The 15,210-nt window shown below is 39.3% G+C and overlaps 1 protein-coding gene and 2 pseudogenes across 19 annotated transcripts in view; all 3 read left to right on the forward strand.

The window, feature by feature from the left end:
- CDIN1 (CDAN1 interacting nuclease 1) overlaps positions 1 to 15,210 on the forward strand; it is a 230,619-nt gene that overhangs the window by 29,787 nt on the left and 185,622 nt on the right. The gene's annotated exons all lie outside the window — the stretch shown is intronic.
- Positions 3,992 to 6,062, forward strand: LOC751603 (tropomyosin 3 pseudogene; annotated as a pseudogene).
- Positions 7,600 to 9,011, forward strand: LARP4P (LARP4 pseudogene; annotated as a pseudogene).

A 15,210-nucleotide genomic window follows, 5' to 3' on the forward strand; every position in this document is an offset into this window, starting at 1 on the left:
TACTTAAAAAATAACTATAATTGTAAAGAATCAGGGATCTATCAACTTAAAATGAAAAAACTTAAAGGGCTGGGTGTGGTGGCTCACACCTGTAATCCCAGCACTTTAAAGGGGGGACCGAGACAGGAGGATCGCTTGAAGCCAGGAGTTTGAGAAAAAACTTAAACTCAGTTCTATTGCTTTTACAAAGTGATTAACCAGATATGGTTTATGAAATGTATTTCTTTAGCTGAATGCTGGGAAGAGACCATCACCTTTCCTGGGCCAGAAGATACTGGCCTGGGGATCCAGACCAGGTAGGAGGTCTGGCTTCCAAAGCCAGTTTTGCTGCAGTGCTAAGAGCATGGCCCTGGGCAAGTCACTTACTGTCTTGGAGCTCCAGTTTGTCCATGTGGATAGAAAGAGCTCCTGTTTTTCACACAGGATGTGTTAAGCTTTTAAGAAGGATGTAGTGCCAGGATAATGCCCTGCCAATCTGGAGGCTGGTGTTTTAGTAAAGCTGTGAAAAGGAAACTTTCTACAGTCTGAGAGAGAAAAGATGAGAGCTTCTGCCTTGTACAGCTCTCTGTGTGACCACATGCTTTAGCTCTCTGACATATCAAAGTAGGGCATGTACCTTAGGAGCTCCTCTGGTTGAATATTATCTCAGAGGTCTCAAAGACTGGCTATCTTGCTAAAGTAGTTTATCAGCAAAATACGAGAAAGGGTTCACAAACTATAATATAGGAAATATTTAATCAGTAAGTAGGTATTTGCATTAAAAACAAAACAGATGACAGCTGCATCAAAGCACAGGGATAATTGCATGTTGAAATGATATTTGACTAAAGCAAGGGGCATGTAGGAAGTCACTTCAAATTGTGGTGTTGTAGAGAAGTACCTAATTGCTTGTTCCTCTTGTCACTTTGCTTCTTTTAAGTGACTTAAGCAAGGTAGATTCTTAAATTGTGCCTTTATAAATCTTTTCAGTTGTGTAATGTGAAAATTATTAATGTATGATTATCTAGACGTAGTTGTGTAGTATATCATCTTCTTTGGATAGTTAATGAGATGTTGGCTTTTGTGCCATTTATCTTGGGAAAAAAGAATAGCTTTCTTTCACATCCACTTCTTTTGCCACACTTTATCTTTTATTTGGATGGGTTTGTATATAACTGCGTGTGAGTGTGTATGTGGGTGTGTATTTTTGTTTGCTTTATGTGTAAGTGATAATAAGAATATATGAATCTAGTTCTCAGCTAGATTCTATTTGCCTAAACAAAGGTGGATACCTGCCCTCTGCAAAGGCTACTGCCTTAAGAAAATTAAGTGTCCACAGAATTGGTGACCTGTTTTTAAGAGAACCTGTAACATCTTTCTAAATGACAAATCATTCCAGCAATATTTAATATTGGCAATTTTCTTCTGTCTGCTTTTAGAACTTATTGGCCAGCCAGGTCAGACATTATTAAAGTTCAAGGGGTCCAGTGGGAAGAGTAATGGTTTTGTGCTACTAGGAATTTTAAGTGTTGCCATTTTCAGGTGTTATAGCATCTGTTCTCACATGCCACTAAAAATGTATAGAAGTTTTAGACCAAATTCAGGGTCAAGGTTACAAGAGTGATGATGCTTCTGACTCATTCTCTTAGCGTTATGTTACCCAAATTATCTGCATAACATTCTGTAGTAAGATCATTTTTAACAAGTTATTTGAAAGAACTTATTATAACAGGCTTTTTTGGGGGAGGCCTTAGCACTTCTTGGCAATTTGTTTAGGTACAGTTGGAGAATCTGGTTCTGACTGAACTGGGTAGCTATTGACAATACTCAGATAGACAGTAGGGAGTCCTTTAGTTCTGAGAATAACTGTGTTTTCTACTTACCAGAAGCAATGCCTTTTGAATATAAAAGTCTTGGGGAGGCTGAGTCCTGTGCTACATACTCTTTTGAGAGTCCACTCTCCAGCACGTGGAAATTGTCAACAAACAGGTGCTTGATAAATATTTGTTGAAATTCTGAATAAGTGAACTAACCACCTATTTCAAGAGGCTTCCAAATGTGTAGCTATTTAATGTACATTGGTGGGTTTAATGAAATGAAGAAAGACTGAGAAGGAAACTTATACAAAATTATCATGGGTTGGTTGAGTGAATCTAGGTATACCTGCATCTCTTTTGAGATGAAATGTCCATACCTCATAAAATCAGCTGATTTTAAAATTTTCTTAGTATTATCATTATCTTGAAAGAGAATAGGAGAAAGAAAGTTTGTGTTTTGGGAATCGAATACTTTATTCCTAAAGTTGGTAAATATTTTACTAAACGGAATCGATCATGTCTTGAACTAAAAACATCAGCAAGGCATTTGCCTTTTATCAAATGAATATCAAGTTGTTTTTTTGGTGGTATCTCTAGCCCTACACTCTGTTATTCACCAATGGTGTTTGTGAAATGAAGTTCATAATTATTAGAGATAACTCTTAAAGGAATAACATATAGTAGGAATTTAAAATGGCTTAAATTTATTGAGTAAGTAAAGTGAATGAAGACAACTTTTAGCCGTGGTACATTGTTCAGAATTATAGTAGCTTCATTTATAATTGTTGAGTTCACTTGGATAGAGTGCTGTTCCCATGATAGAAAATGTAGTTTTCCCCAGGTGTCTGTTTTCTCATTCTTCTAATGTGATAGAATCCTCCAGTTTTGACCAGAACATGACTTCCAAGAACAGAGGCGTCCTTGTATCTTTCATGGCCATGGGACTGAGTTCTGGCTATTGCAGAGTAAGCGTAAGTTTCATGTGGCAGCTTAGTTTTATGTGGAGCCTTCCCTAAGAGACAGCCCTTGTCTCTCTTCTTCAGGATCCTTTCTCAGTCTTGCTGTCTGGAATGCACATGCCACAGTCTTAACTGTGGGCTGATAGAATGGTGAGCTGACAGGAGCCTGGGTCCCAAGGACTTCCTGGAGCAAAATTGCTGTGGTGGAAGAGACAAATCTTACTGGGAAAGACAAACATTTCTGTACGGTATAATCCACAGTTATTTGGGATTGTATTTTCTATCCCTCGTAAGCGAACCTCACCCCATCTATTAGAGATAGATGGGCTGGGTTTTATCAGATTGGATTCCTAGGATATGAGATCAGAATGAGGCTGCATGAGAACAAGTTTGTCACCATATTCAGAGCCATTTTAAAGTGTGTGCCTTACTGATTGCTGGTGAGTCACGTAGCCTTTTAGTAAGCTTGGCATGTTATGATGCTGAGCGTCTTTACTTCCCTGGTTCTGGATTTGGTCTGACTATGTCAGGACTTGTATATGGCTTTTACAGATTTCCTGCAATGACTAGTCTGCATTATCTTCTTGGATGTTGTAAAGATAGAGAGTTGGGTTAGGGAGCGGTTACTGATTATATAATCAACAGGTCACAGTGCTCTTTTCAGGCATCATTATTTTTAGTCTGGACATAAACATCTTTTCCCTAAGAAAACGTTTCCATCAATCTCAGTATTTGTCGATATCTCTTAAAAAGGTAACAGTTGGTTGCTTGAATTTTGTGATATTGTAGCCATTATCAAAATGAAAGCAGAGGCCAAAACATACTAGGTTTTTGTTCTGTATTTGATATAGTCAAAATTTCTAAGACTTAATTAGGAGCACACACTCTCTTATTCTTGTGAAGCTTAAAATCACTAATTGTTAGGCACCACGGTGTTTGGAAGCAAAACATCTCCGTTAGCAATGGCATCTCTGTTATGTGTTCACATGTTATCTCAATGCATGTTCATTTGCTGTGTCTGTGAGTTGCAATGTTTTTACATTTTCCCTTAAAATGGATGTGTGTGTTTGGTATGCGGGTGTGGATGTTAGGGAATGAGAGGAGGAGGGTCATTCTTCACTAAGTCATCACTTGGAAGGCTAATAGGTGCAAGTCACTGTGCTATATATTGATGACGTAAAGTTAAAAAGATGTAAAGATAAAAAAAGGATTCCTTGTCTTAAGAACTCAGTTTTGGAGAGGAGGCTGCAACGCTGAGTGGAGGAGGCAGGAACTGGAGCGTGAGCAGTAGCTAGGTGGGCACCATGGCTGGGATCACCACCATCAAGGCGGTGAAGCGCAAGATCCAGGTTGTGCAGCAGCAGGCAGATGATGCAGAGGAGTGAGCTGAGCGCCTCCAGCAAGAAGTTGAGGGAGAAAGGCGGGCCCGGGAACAGGCTGAGGCTGAGGTGGCCTCCTTGAACCGTAGGATCAAGCTGGTTGAAGAGGAGCTGGACCGTGCTCAGGAGCGCCTGGCTACTGCCCTGCAAAAGCTAGAAGAAGCGGAAAAAGCTGCTGATGAGAGTGAGACAGGTATGAAGGTTTTTGAAAACCGGGCCTTAAAAGATGAAGAAAAGATAGAACTCCAGGAAATCCAACCCAAAGAAGCTAAGCACATTGCAGAAGAGGCAGATAGGAAGTATGAAGAGGTGGCTTGTAAGTGGGTGATCACTGAAGGAGACTTGGAACGCACAGAGAATGAGCTGAGCTGGCAGAGCCCCATTGCCGAGAGATGGATGAGCAGATCAGACTGATGGACCAGAACCTGAAGTGTCTGAGTGCTGCTGAAGAAAACTACTCTCAAAAAGAAGACAAATATGAGGAAGAGATCAAGATTCTACTGATAAACTCAAGGAGAGACCTGTGCTGAGTTTGCTGAGAGATCGGTAGCCAAGCTGGAAATGACTTGGAAGATAAACTGAAATGCACCAAAGAGGAGTATTCTGTACACAGAGGTTGCTGGACCAGACTCTGCTGACCTGAATGAGCTGTAGAATGCCCCATTCCCACCCTGCTGCTGCTCCTCCCTCTGACCCTGACTCCACCTAAGGCCAGCCTGCCCGAAGCTGACCTTTAACTGAGGGCCGATCTTTAACTGGAAGGCTGCTTTCTCCTTTCGCCACCCCCTTCTCCCCTGTGGCTTTTTTGCCAAACTGTCTCTGCCTCTTCCCAGAGATTCCAGCTGGGCTAGAGGCTGAGCACCTTTGGAAACAACATTTAAGGGAATGTGAGCACAATGCATAGTGTCTTTAAAAAGCATGTTATGATGTACACATTTTGTAATTACCTTTTTTGTTGTTTTGTAGCAACCATTTGTCAAACATTCCAAATAATTCCACAGCCCTGAAGCAGCAATCTAATCCCTTTCTCACTTTTGGAAGGTGACTTTTCACCTTAATGCATATTCCCCTCTCCATAGAGGAGAGGAAAAGGTATAGGCCTGCCTTACTGAGAGCCAAACAGAGCCCAGGGAAAGACTGTACTATGGGAAGCCTCATTGCTGTCTACAAAGTACTAGCTAAACCAGAAAGGTGATTCCAGGAGGAGTTAGCCAAACAACAACAAAAACAAAAAATGTGCTGTTCAAGTTTTCAGCTTTAATATATCTTTGGATAATGTTATTTCTATTTTATTTTTTCATTAGAAGTCACCAAATTAAGATGGTAAGACCTCTGAGACAAAATTTTTGTCCCATCTCTACCCCCTCCCAACTGCTTACAGAATGGATCATGTCCCCCCTTATGTTGAGGTAACCATTTAATTGCTTTCCTGCCTCCTTGAAAGAAAGAAAGAAGATTGTGTTTTTGCCACTGATTTAGCCGTGTGAAACTCATCTCATTACCCTTTTCTGGGTTTGAAGCTGCTGTCTCTAGAAGTGCCATCTCATTGTGCTTTGTATCAGTCAGTGCTGGAGAAATCTTGAATAGCTTACGTACAAAACTTTTTAAAATTTATATTATTTTGAAACTTTGCTTCTTTGGGTTTGTGGCACCCTGGCCACCGCATCTGGCTGTGACAGCCTCTGCAGTCCGTGGGCTGGCAGTTTGTTGATCTTTTAAAGTTTCTTTCCCTACCCAGTGCCCATTTTCTGGTAAGGTTTCTAGGAGGTCTGTTAGGTGTACATCCTGCAGCTTATTGGCTTAAAATGTACTCTCCTTTGATGTGGTCTCTTTGGGGCTGATTGGGAGAAAGAGAAATCAATAGTGCAACTGTTTTGATACTGAATATTGACAAGTGTCTTTTTGAAATAAAGAACCAGTCCCTCCAAAAATGAAAATAATAATAATAAAAAGAACTCAATTTAATGGAAAAGCAAATGAAGAAAAGAATACTTCAATTAAAATTAATCTGCACAATGAAGTGTGGTCCAAAAAATAATTAAATTTCAACATGAGACTTATTTATGGGCTCACTAAATCCAGAAATCTGAAGGGTTTCATGAACTCCTAGCCCAAAGCAATTCTATTGAGAGCCCCTGAAACAGCAGTGCGAGTCCCGCAACAACCAATGAAAGATTATTCTACCTACATTTGTGAATGCTTAAAATTTAGTTTTTTAAAAACACAGTCCTTCTCAATTTCTTGTTTTGTTTTTTGGTTTGAAGTTACATGTTGTTTTTCCTCTGGTTTTCTTCTTGGGGCATTATATAATTGTCAGAATTCTGTTAAAATTCAGGTTTGATGTAGTCATTTTGGAAATTCCCAGGTATCCTCCTTCATATTTTTATTCTAAAAGCAATTCTGAAGAACATTTGCCTTCACAGTGTTTCAATTCAGTCTAACATTGGACCAGTGGGAGAATATAGCAAGAGCATCGATGGGGGAAAATGGATGTGTGTACAGAAAAACATAAGCGGCATGATGTAGCCTCTTCCTTCTTCTCATTATCTGGAATTCACAACTAATCTCTTAACCACCAGGCTGAAGGCACATCATATACATGGTGGACAGGTGAACTGGAGGCTTTGGGTCTCAGGGATTTGGAGGTGCCATGTTAAGTTTTTAGAGGCTCTATCCTTTAAGAACTGGATGCTTCTGTTTTGGTCATTTTTTTCTAAGCCTACATTTTTCTTTTTCTTTCATTTTTTTTTTTTGAGACAGACTTTCGCTCTTGTTGCCCAGGCTGGAGTGCAATGGCACAATCTCTGCTCACTGCAACCCCCACCTCCCGGGTTCAAGCGATTCCCCTGCCTCAGCCTCCCAAGTAGCTGGGATTACAAGCATGAGCCACTACACCCGGCTAATTTTGTATTTTTAGTAGAGACGGAGTTTCTTCATGTTGGTCAGGCTGGTCTCAAACTCCTGACCTCAGGTGATCCACCCGCCTTGGCTTCCCAAAGTGCTGGGATAAGCCAACATTTTCTAGTCTGCATAGAGTAATATCAGCCTTGTGCAAATTCCAGTATTGTTCCAAGAATATAATGCAAGGCTGGGTGCAGTGGCTCACACCTATAATCCTAACACTTTGGGAGGCTGAGGTGGGCGGATCACAAGGTCAGGAGTTCGAGACCAGCCTGACCAATATGGTGACCAATATGGTGAAACCCTGTTTCTACTAAAAATACAAAAATTAGCCAGGCATGGTGGCGCATGCCTGTAATCCCAGCTACTCAGGAGGCTGAGGCAGGAGACTTGCTTGGACCTGGGAGGCAGAGGTTGCAGTGAGCCGAGATCGTGCTACTGCACTCCAGCTTGGGTGACACAGCAAGACTTAGTGTCAAAAAAATATATATATATATAATGCAAATAAAATTGTAAAAGTATTATACCTTTTAATATTTCAGAACAAAAACTTATTTAAAAAATTTATTCTGTTGGGGCACGGGCCTGTGAGCCAGTTAGAGTTGCAGCTGTGGGAACGATTGGGCCGAGCAGAGGACGACATGTTGTTTTTCGTGGAGCAGGTAACATCTAAAGGAACTGGTTTAAATCCTAATGCCAAAGTATGGCAAGAAATTGCTCCTGGGAATACTGATGCCACCCCAGTAACTCATAGAACTGAAAGCTCTTGGCATGAAACAGCAGCCACATCGGGTGCTCATCCTGAGGTTAATGCAGAGCTCTCAGAAGATATATGTAAAGAATATGAAGTAATGTGTTCTTTGTCTTGTGAAACCACAAGAAATACTACAGGCATTGAAGAATCAACTGATGGGATGATTTTAGGACCAGAAGATCTGAGTTACCAAATATATGATGTTTCTGGAGAAAGCAATTCAGCAATTTCTACAGAAGACCTAAAAGAATGTCTAAAGAAACAATTAGAATTCTGGTTTTCACGAGAAAATTTGTCAAAGAATCTTTACTTGATCTCTCAAATGGATAGTGATCAGTTCATCCCAATTTGGACAGTTGTTAACATGGAAGAAATAAAAAAGTTGACCACAGACCCTGATGTAATTCTTGAAGTGTTAAGTTCTTCTCCCATGGTACAAATTGATGAGAAGGGTAAAAAAGTGAGCCAAGTCATAAGCGTTGTATTGTGATTCTTAGAGAGATTCCTGAAACAACACCAATAGAGGAAGTGAAAGCTTTGTTCAAATTGAAAACTGCCCCAAAGTGATAAGTTGTGAGTTTGCACACAGTAGCAGCTGGTATATCACTTTCCAGTCAGACACAGATACACAAAAGGCTTTTAAATCCTTAAGAGAAGAAGTTAAAACATTTCAGGGCAAGCCAATTATGGCAAGGATAAAAGCCATCAATACATTTTTTGCTAAGAATTGTTACTAATTAATGGATTCTAGTATCTATAGTCAGCCCATTCAGACTCAAGCACAGTATGCCTCCCCAGTCTTTATGCAGCCTGTATATAATCTTCACCAGCAGTTCTCGGTCTATAGTATTATTCCTCAGTCTTGGTCTCCAAATCCTACACCTTACTTTGAAACACCACTGGCCCGCTTTCCCAATGGTAGTTTTGTGAATGGCATTAATTCACCAGGATCTTATAAAAGACATGCTACTGCTATGAATATGGGTCGACCATTCCAAAAAAAAACCTGAAGCCTCATTTTAGGTCATCCAGTGGTTCAGAACACTCAACAGAGGACTCTGTATCATTGGGGGATGGACAATTGAACAGATCTAGTTCAAAAAATTTTTCAACTGAAAGCATAATCCTACAGTAACTGGGGATTAGGAGCAAACTTAACTTCAAAAGGAGACTTCCACTTTGCAGATGGAACAAAATGGGGACTATGGTAGGGGCAGGAGAACTCTTTTCAGAGGTCGAAGATGACGACAAGATGTCAATCTCAAGACCTCATCCTTCAACAGCTGAATCAAAGCCTCCAACACCAAAGTTTGACTTACTAGCCTCAAATTTTCCACCTTTACCTGGAAGTTCATCAAGAATCCCAGATAAACTCATTTTGGAGAATAGGATGTCTGATGTTGTTAAAGGTGTCTACAAAGAAAAGGATAATGAAGTGTTGAGAGTTAGTTGCCCAGTGCCTGCAGATGAGCAGACAGAATGCACTTCTGCCCAGCAACTCAGTATGAGTACCAGTTCTCCATGTGCAGCTGAGCCTACTGCATTAAGCACAACTCAGCCAAAAAAAAAAAAAAAAAAAGGATCTAATAGAGGATTCCTCTGTTCAGAAGGATGGTCTCAACCAGACAACTATACCAGTTTCTCCTCCAAGTACTACAAAGCCATGGAGGGCAAGTACTGCCTCACCATGTAATCGTAACATAAATGTAGCTACACCGTGACTCTACAGGAACCCTGAAAGTTAAGTTATGCTGAAGTGTGCCAGAAGCCCCCTAAAGAGCCATCTTCAGTTCTTGTGTAGCCACTATGGGAACTTCGCTCCAATGTAGTGTCTCCCACGACAAACAAAGACAATGAAGCTCCTTAGAAGTCCCTTGAGAAACCAAATGAGAAGCCAGAAGCAAGGGCTAGTAAGGATTATTCTGGCTTCTGAGGCCATACCATTCCCAGGGGAGCAGCTGGAAAAATCAGGGAACAGAGATGCCAGTTTAGTCGTAGGGCTATACCTCAGGGAGTGACATGACGTAATGGCAAAGAGCAATATGTGCCACCCAGATCACCAAAGTAAAAAACAACAAAACTATTCAAAAACTTCTCTCTCTTCCCGTTAAACTTGAGCTGTAGCTATATTGAACTGTTTTGGAGGGGAGAGGGTAACCAGGAAGGAAACAGGAGAAAGTACATCCTTAAATCATTATGGATTTTGGAGTTGTGAGTGATAGGATCCCAAAATTCATCTCTGATGTGATTTATAAATGCTGGAGGATTTCTATCTATCTATCTATCTATCTATCTATCTATCTATCTATCTATCTATCCATCCATCCACACACACATATAAAGTGTATTTTTTCTATTTTTGTTTTTGGTTTTAATTTGCAGAGATTTGCTGCCAGGAATCAATTTTGAGGGTTCAGTTTCAGCTTGGAGGAAAAAAAAAAACAACATTATACATCCTTCAGTATAGGAGATGAGGGAGTGAGAGGAAATATTTTTTGAAGAAGCATTTCTGTAAAATTAGAAATTACTTTTTAAAATCTATTTAAAGTTTGGCGTGGAGAATGCCATCTCTGATTATATGGCCTTGTATTGCAAAGCGGATTAGTGGCTGGGGTGCCTGTTGTGGGTGTGAGTGTGTACAAGAGCGATTGAAGCAAAATCTGTTGTCATGTTAGTAAATGATTTGAAAACTGAATGTAAAACTTGAGTAGATTTTTTTTTTTTAGTTTGAAATTGAGTCTGTCTTTTTGACCTTACTAATATTTCCTTCAACAAGTTGTAAAACTGTGATTGTACTTGGACATGTGACTACTAATCAGTTTGATACTCAAGGAAAGAATGGGGTTTCTTAAAAACATTGAAAATTTCGGCCGGGTGCGGTGGCTCTCGCCTGTAATCCCAGCACTTTGGGAGGCCGAGGTGGGCGGATCACGAGGTCAGGAGATCGAGACCATCCTGGCTAACACGATGAAACCCCGTCTCTACTAAAAATACAAAAAATTAGCTGGGAGTGGTGGCGGGCGCCTGTAGGCCCAGCTACCCGGGAGGCTGAGGCAGGAGAATGGCGTGACACCGGGGGGCGGAGCTTGCAGTGAGCCGAGATGGCGCCACCGCACTCCAGCCTGGGCGACAAAGCGAAACTCTGTCTCAAAAAAAATAAAAATAAAATAAAAATAAAAATAAATTGAAAATTATCTTGGACCTCAGTGTGTAGGTGAAATATATTTCAGAGTCTTAAAATTCCCTGTGATTCCCCCTGCTAAAATGGGAAACAATTTTTTTTTCTTACTCCATATGTTATTCTCTGTTCTTTGACTGCCCATCCCCAAAAGCAAAATAACCAACTACTTACTGAATTATATTTGTCATTGCTTTGACCAGTCTAGTCAAATCATATAAATTGTTCTAAATTTCAGAATTGAACATTGAAGTATTTACTCTTCTGTTCACACATTGAGAATTTTAGGTCCCAAGATGGTAAGGCGGACTGACCTTACAGTAATTTATTTGCTGTCAGTGTTAAAGATGAAACATTGTGACTGACTCTTAAGTGTTAAATAGTGTAGAAGTAAAATATTATTTTTTTTTTAAAGGCTTAATTTTGGGGGGGGACTTATTTCTGTTTACAGTGTATTTATCACCTTCCTTTCCTCCTCTTCTTCCCCCACACCCAAAAAATACAGTTTGGAATTCACTGAAACAGAACCAGCAAGTCATGAGATTTTTTAGTAAAGATGAGAAAGATGGTTGAAGAAAATTAATGCATAATTTCTCAGTGAATCAAGTTGTAGCTCTCATATACTAAATACACAAGTTTACATGCTGTTATTTAGAAAATGGCTAAAATATTAAAAGCCATGTTGTGTTTATCTGTTTTAAGTCATACCATGTTTAGAGTTCTATGTAAGGTGGGTTTTATTTTTCTTTTAAGGGATAATTTGTAATAGTAAGAACTGTCCCATATGTTAGATTATGTGTGTACAATTACGTGTAAATTGTGAATACTGGAAAGCACCATTGTGACATAGCGTAAGCATCTTGGTAATATATTAAAGTGAATGTAAATAGTGGTTAAAATTACATTACTGTGAAATTCACCTTCCAACTCTAAGTTAAGCTTTGGAGATACGTATTAGCGATTAACTGTTAAGAGCTTTGAAAACACTGCACGTATCTGTACAAGCCAGAATTACTATTTCTTTGACTTATTGTTAGCATGGCAGTTGTTTTTGATTTGGTTGTTTTATGACATGGTATACTATATTTACTCAGTTTGAAACTATTCATTTCTATACACTATTTTTTAAAAATCACCTACTAGGTGAAACATACAATGAAACTACCTGTGCTGAAATTTGGGGGAAGTTTAGGTCCTTTAAAAAAATGTATTAATCATTGACTACATCTATGATAAAAGTGCTTATTTTGGTTTACTAAGATAATGCAGTTGGTGGAAATGATAAACATTTTAAGTGTTAACATCCTTTGAATGCATTGGATTTCAGAGAATAAACATTCTGTAAAAACAAAAAAAAATTTATTTTGTTGGCCTCCCTTTTAGATGGGCAAATTCCTTGGTGCTAGCCATTCAAAATTGTGTGAAGGGCAGTATCTGACTTAATTATAATATTTAGGGAAAGCTTTTGTTGTTTGACCTGACAACAAGTTCAGTTTTTTTTTTTTTCCTCCAAGGGCTTTTAATAGAATTGCTTTGGTCTAAGAATTCATGATAGACTAAATGAAATCCTTCAGTCTGCTGGATTTAGTGAGATCATAAATTAGCCTCATGGTGAATGTATCTTTCTTTTCCCTGTTTCATTTGACACAATTCATTGAAATGATGACTACCTATAAGTGGTTAGAATTTTATGTGTGGAAAACTTGAAGAGAAAAACTTTTCAAAGTAAAGTGTTTGTTTCTTTCATCATGGTGTCACCTGCTTTTGATCTTTTTCATTGTGCTTATGCTTAAAACTAGATTTCAATATATGTTCTTTAATGGTAAAAGTTTATATGCAAAATAGGTCTTCTGGCATTTTTACTGTCACGTGTAGAGTGAAGCTAGTGGTGACCCAGTTTTTCTCATCGGGCTTGAGGGAGGGGTGGGGACAGTTGGATCTGCTCTTCTCTGCTCTTTAACTGGCATAGAAGTGGTAGGAAGGAAACCCAAGCAGGTGTCTCATTGGCATGCCATTGTGGAGTAGAGAGAGGCAGTGTTCATAGAAGTACAGCAGCTGTGTGGACTTCTGTCATGGGGAGCAGGGCCCAGCAGTCAGGATATCCTTGGGGACTGGTTCCTGGCATGAGCAAATTCTTGAGTAACTGTAATTCTAGCTAGATTTCTAAAGACAAGATCTTCATACACAGAGAAGCTGGGAAGCAGACTGTATTTCACCTCAGGGGCCTGTGGTTATAGACTTGAGGAAACATGAGGAACCAGGGTAACAGCAAATGGGACTTATCCTTGGATGCCAGAGTATTTGGCCAGTGCTACTCACTGGTCTGGTTAGGGCTGGTCTGGAAGTCATGGGCAGACCCCAGGGTGAGGTCAAGTAGCTCTAACAGGAACCAGGCAGAGCCTGGCCTTCTAGTAAGGGGCAGGGAGCACTTCCCCAGGTGGGTCCTGTCTTGAATCATGCTGGTGTTTGTATCGGGGAGGCAGCCTTTCTGGCTTCCTCTGGTCTGGGGAGGCCATTTTGATGGGGGGAAGAAAATTGAAGCTTCTTATATCAAATTCAGCCATTTCTAAATATTGAGACACACAAATGTATGGAGCTGCCAATGTGCAGGGCACACATTCAAATTTGGGGAGAATCTAACATAATCTAATGCAATGTAAGCTGTGGTTCTATAAAATTTTGCATTTTTTTAGGGCTTTTGCAGCTTTTGGGGGCTTTCACAGGATGTGAATTTTGTATTTTTTGATTGGGTTGTGTTATTTTGGGAACATAGTGAAACTCAGTCACATTTTTAGGATGTTGTATATATGCCAAGGGAAATGTATGTTTTTCCCGCTGAATTTTTATTTCTTATGTAAATAACATTAAAACCAGAAAAAAAAGGATGAAGAAATCACCTATAAACCCAAATCCATACTTTTTTTTAAACAATTTTGCCTTCTCTTTTAGATCTTGAGCATATTCTTACTTGAGACTGTAATTTTAAACATACTGTCAATATAACTTTATATATTTTTTACTTTAAATTATATTTATTTACAGCCAGTAGTTGCATGTTAACTTTATCGAATGATGAACTCAGATCTGCCAAGTTGAACTTCAGTAGTGAATGGTGGATTTTAGGGTGAAAATGGCTTTGTGTGCAGGCTCCATTCTTTTGGCAAGTGTTGCAGTGGGGGTAACCAGTTGTTGACGCCATGGGGCAGGCAGCTCAGTACCCTGAACAGGGTCCTGGAAGTTGCTGTAGCGTTTGAGGGGAGCACTCCTATGGTGTGGTTGGAATGCTGTTTTTGGTTATAAGGCCTCTGAACTCGACTTTCTGGTCCTGTGGTAAATTCCACGAACTGTCTAAAACCTTTAGTAAATTTTGTTTTTTGTTGTAACTCAATTGAGTAGATTAAGTTGTTTGCAACTAAGCATCTTGTGAAACATTGACATACTGGTTCTTGAAAGTAATTTGTTTTATGATTTGGAGGCAGTGATTAAGAACCTAGAGTCTAAGGCCAAACTGCCTATATTCACATCCTGACTGTGTCAATTTGGAGAAGATACTTCACTTTTCTCCCTTAGTTTCTTAAGAAAACACTACTATTATTATAGTGATGATAATTAAATGAAACAGTACCTGGTAGCTAATAAGTGTTCCCCCAGTGTTACCATCTTCATTATCATGATCATCATGACAGTAGGTATTTATTGAGCACCTACTCTTTATTAGAGTTCAACAGAAATGGGGAAAAGTTACAAATAGGTATTCTAGCAAAATTTAGTATATAACAAAGCCTAATTGTATTGTGCATAGTCTTAATGACAGCTCCATCTCTGCTCATCCTCTGGTTTCTCTTAAGACACATAGAGAAACAGGGAAGGCATTTGTAGCCATCTAAGATTGGATTTATTGGAATGAATAACATTAAGTGCTGAGAATAACTGACAAAAGGATTTGATTGTGAATCAAGAATAAAAGGTTGTGGTAAGACTTAGAATTTTGTGTTTATTAAGAGAAGAGCTTAATGCATTGTAAGGCATTCCATTTGTTGTTTTAACATTGCCAGCATTTATTATTAAAGTGGGTGGTTGTAGAATAATTATAGTCCATATCATGATGATGATGTTGTTTTTAGAGAAGATTGAAAATCTATAGTTTTTTCAAACTAATACAGCAAGGAAAACATGTCATCTACTGAGGCTTCAAATAGTTTGCTTGACCTCCTGAGAGTACTACTGAGATTGTTTAAAGGAA

The sequence above is a fragment of the Homo sapiens genome, chromosome 15 (genome assembly GCF_000001405.40).
Source record: "Homo sapiens chromosome 15, GRCh38.p14 Primary Assembly".
Lineage (NCBI taxonomy): Eukaryota > Metazoa > Chordata > Mammalia > Primates > Hominidae > Homo > Homo sapiens.